The sequence below is a fragment of the Homo sapiens genome, chromosome 3 (genome assembly GCF_000001405.40).
Source record: "Homo sapiens chromosome 3, GRCh38.p14 Primary Assembly".
NCBI lineage: Eukaryota > Metazoa > Chordata > Mammalia > Primates > Hominidae > Homo > Homo sapiens.
The window spans coordinates 13,506,417-13,509,372 of NC_000003.12; positions in this window are offsets into that span (position 1 = coordinate 13,506,417).

The window sequence follows — 2,956 nt, forward strand, 5'->3', positions numbered from 1 at the left end:
TCTTCTGAGTCCTGTGGAGTTGGTAATGATTCCCATTTCACAGATGAGGAAACTGAGGCTTGGCAGGGGTGAGAAATTTGCCCCAGGCCACACCTCCCAGCAGATCTCAACAGTGGTAGAGCCAGGCTTGAATCCAGCTCTGCCAGATCCCAAAGTAAAAGTTCTCAGCTGCCTCACACTTGGCAGGGGGGTGGGGTGGGGGTGGGGGGTTACTCTGGACAGAGAAGGGTCTAGGATCCCAGGGTGATAAGGTCACTGGGCTGGGGTCTGGGACAGCCTGGGAATGGGTGGGCAGGCACAGCTGGGCTGTGATGGTGGCTCTGCTGCACAGTGGGAGGGGGCCCTGGCAGGGCAGTGGGTGGATGGGGTGTCTTCCAGGCCTGGGGTGCTTTTGGAGCGCTTATGGGGATGGGCTGCCCCGAGATGAGGCTGGGCTGGGGTGGGGTATCCAGGCAGGGGGAAAGGCAGAGCCTTGGCCGGGCAGAGTGACCAGAGCATCCCCAGTATCAGTGGCACAGCCTGGATGGGGGGCAGGGTGGCCCCTTGAGGTTCAGACAGGGTGTCAGGGAAAAGGACATGGGGTAGCAGGCAGGGGTCCCGATTGGCCCTGTGCTGGGTGGGAGGAGACTGATAAAGGCTGATGCTGACCAGGTGGTACTAAGGGCCAGGCCCTATCCAGACTCTAGCTGGGAACTGCATATGGAACTTCATGGCACTCTGAGGTGAGAACTGTTTCCATGCCTACTTCACAGATGTAGAAGCAGAGGCAGGAAAGGGGTTAGTTATTTGCTGAGCACCGCAGCCCCTAAGTGGAGGAGTGAGGACTGGAGCCCAGGCCCCAGCTCCAGAACCTGTGAGCTGTTTCTTCCTTAAAGATGCTCGTGGAAGAGGTTGTCCTGGGAATAAGAGCCTCAGTACCTGGAAGGCACTCAGGACACTGGGTGGCTTTCTGCTGCTCCCAGTAACTGTCAGGGTGAGGGGGAGGAATGTCCTGTAGGTCAGGCGGAAGAACTGAGGCCAGATGAAGTGTTTGGACCTGTTTGCAGGATCTGTGCATTTTGCTGTATGTAAATTACACCACAAGTTACATCAATCCCAGTGGAGCAGGTCAGCTTCATGAAGTGGCTGAGAGGTGGCACAGCAGCCCTGACGCCCCAGTGGCTGCTGGCAGCCCTGGATAAGAGCAGGGACAGGCTGAGGACGACTGGCCATCAGACTCATGATCTGGGGAGACCTTGGGAGGCATGACCTTGCACCATGCCTGGCCAGTGAGCCAGCTGAGGCTTGGGGAGAGGGATTTCATCTTGGGAGACACAGCTCTGTTCTCTACGGGACAGACGCAGGGAGGTTCCAGCAGGAAGCAGCAGTGCCCGGCTGTAACCTGGCCCCTGCCCGGAACCCACCCCTCCAGGCTAGGCTAATAGGGCCCCAGCGGGGGCGGGGGCAGAGGCAGGCATGACCATCCCCACTCTGCTGCCTCAGGCATAAACAAAGGCGGTTGCTGGCACGGGGCCCCTCCCTGCCTAGCGGGACTCCTGGGCAGACCTAAAGGAAGACTTTTATGATGCCTCCCTGGCTGCTCAGCCAAACATTTGGGGTTTAGGGCCAGGAACTCCTCCAGGGCAGCCTGCCCTTGAGTTGGTTTCATTCAGCTTAGCCAGCACTGGCTGGGGACACCTTGCTCAGGCCCAGGGCCAACGCGTGAGGCTCTGCACCACTCTGGAAGTGACGCCGTCACGTGATTGCTAGGGAGGCCCAGGGAGCGGACGCGTGGGCTCCAGTCCCTCCGGCCTGGCTCTGAGTCCTGCCTCCTCCCCTCGATAGCTGTGTGCCTTAGTTTACTCATCTGCAAAATGGGGATGATAGCACCTACCTCCTAGGTGTTGGAGAATTAAATGAGTGAATGTTTGTGAAGGGCTTAAAGCAAGAGTAAACACTCAATTAAGCATGCTTGATTGTGGCTGTCGGCACTCATCATCACCATCATCACCACCACCATGTTACTGATGGGAAACAAACTCAGAGAGGTGAAATGGCTTGCCGAAGACTGCAGAGTTGGGCAATGGCAAAGCCAGGGAATGCACCCACATCCATCCGACTCCAACACTAGTGCCCTTTCCCCATGGCCAGGCCCTCTGGCAAACAGTGTCTTGGTGAGCATGGCATCTTGCACACTGCCTGGACTTCCACGCCCTTCCCCAGCTCATAGTCTTACCAGCAACCCCGGGAGAGGCAGGCCTCAGCACCCTTGTTGTCCAGATGAGACAGAGACCCGGATGGGAAAGGCAGTCCCACGGCCCCTCAGCGGTGGTGGCAGGGCCTGGTGGAGGGAAGTGTGGCACCTGTGGGTACATTGCTGTCTACTCAGGCTGGGGCCCGCAGAGACGGGTGCTCCCACATCCTACCCTGGAAATGCTGTTCAGCTGGAAAACATACACTGGGCTTTCTAAAGGGCCATTGGCTTTCAGCTTGAACTTTCAAAGTACAAAGTGAATTAAAAAATAGTCATAAAACAGCAGGCAGCTGAGAAATGCATCATGGATTGGCGTGTGCAGCTGGGGCTAGGGCCCTGGAGAGTACCTGTTCCACCTGCCTGTTCCACCTGCAGAGGCCCAGCCTCGGCACTGCAGCTGGACAGGGTGTGTGGGGGTGGACGAGAAGGGAGGTATCCTTTGAGGAGGCCTGCTCACCCTGGCTCAGTGCTGGCTGTCAGCGTTGTCGATTTGTGGATGGGGAAGGTGAGGCCCAGGGAGGGCTTGAAGGAGCCTGGCACCCCCTGGCAAGCAAACCAGAACCCCGGCCTCCTCCCCTCCTCACCTGGTAGCCTCCTTGCGGGGGGTGGCTGTGGTGAGCATGTGCCATGTGCCAGGCCACATGTGTGAGAGGATTGCAGAGGCCCGTGCACGGCGAGGCCCATGCCACTCTCTGCGTGCCTGGTCCTTGTTTATCCTCACAG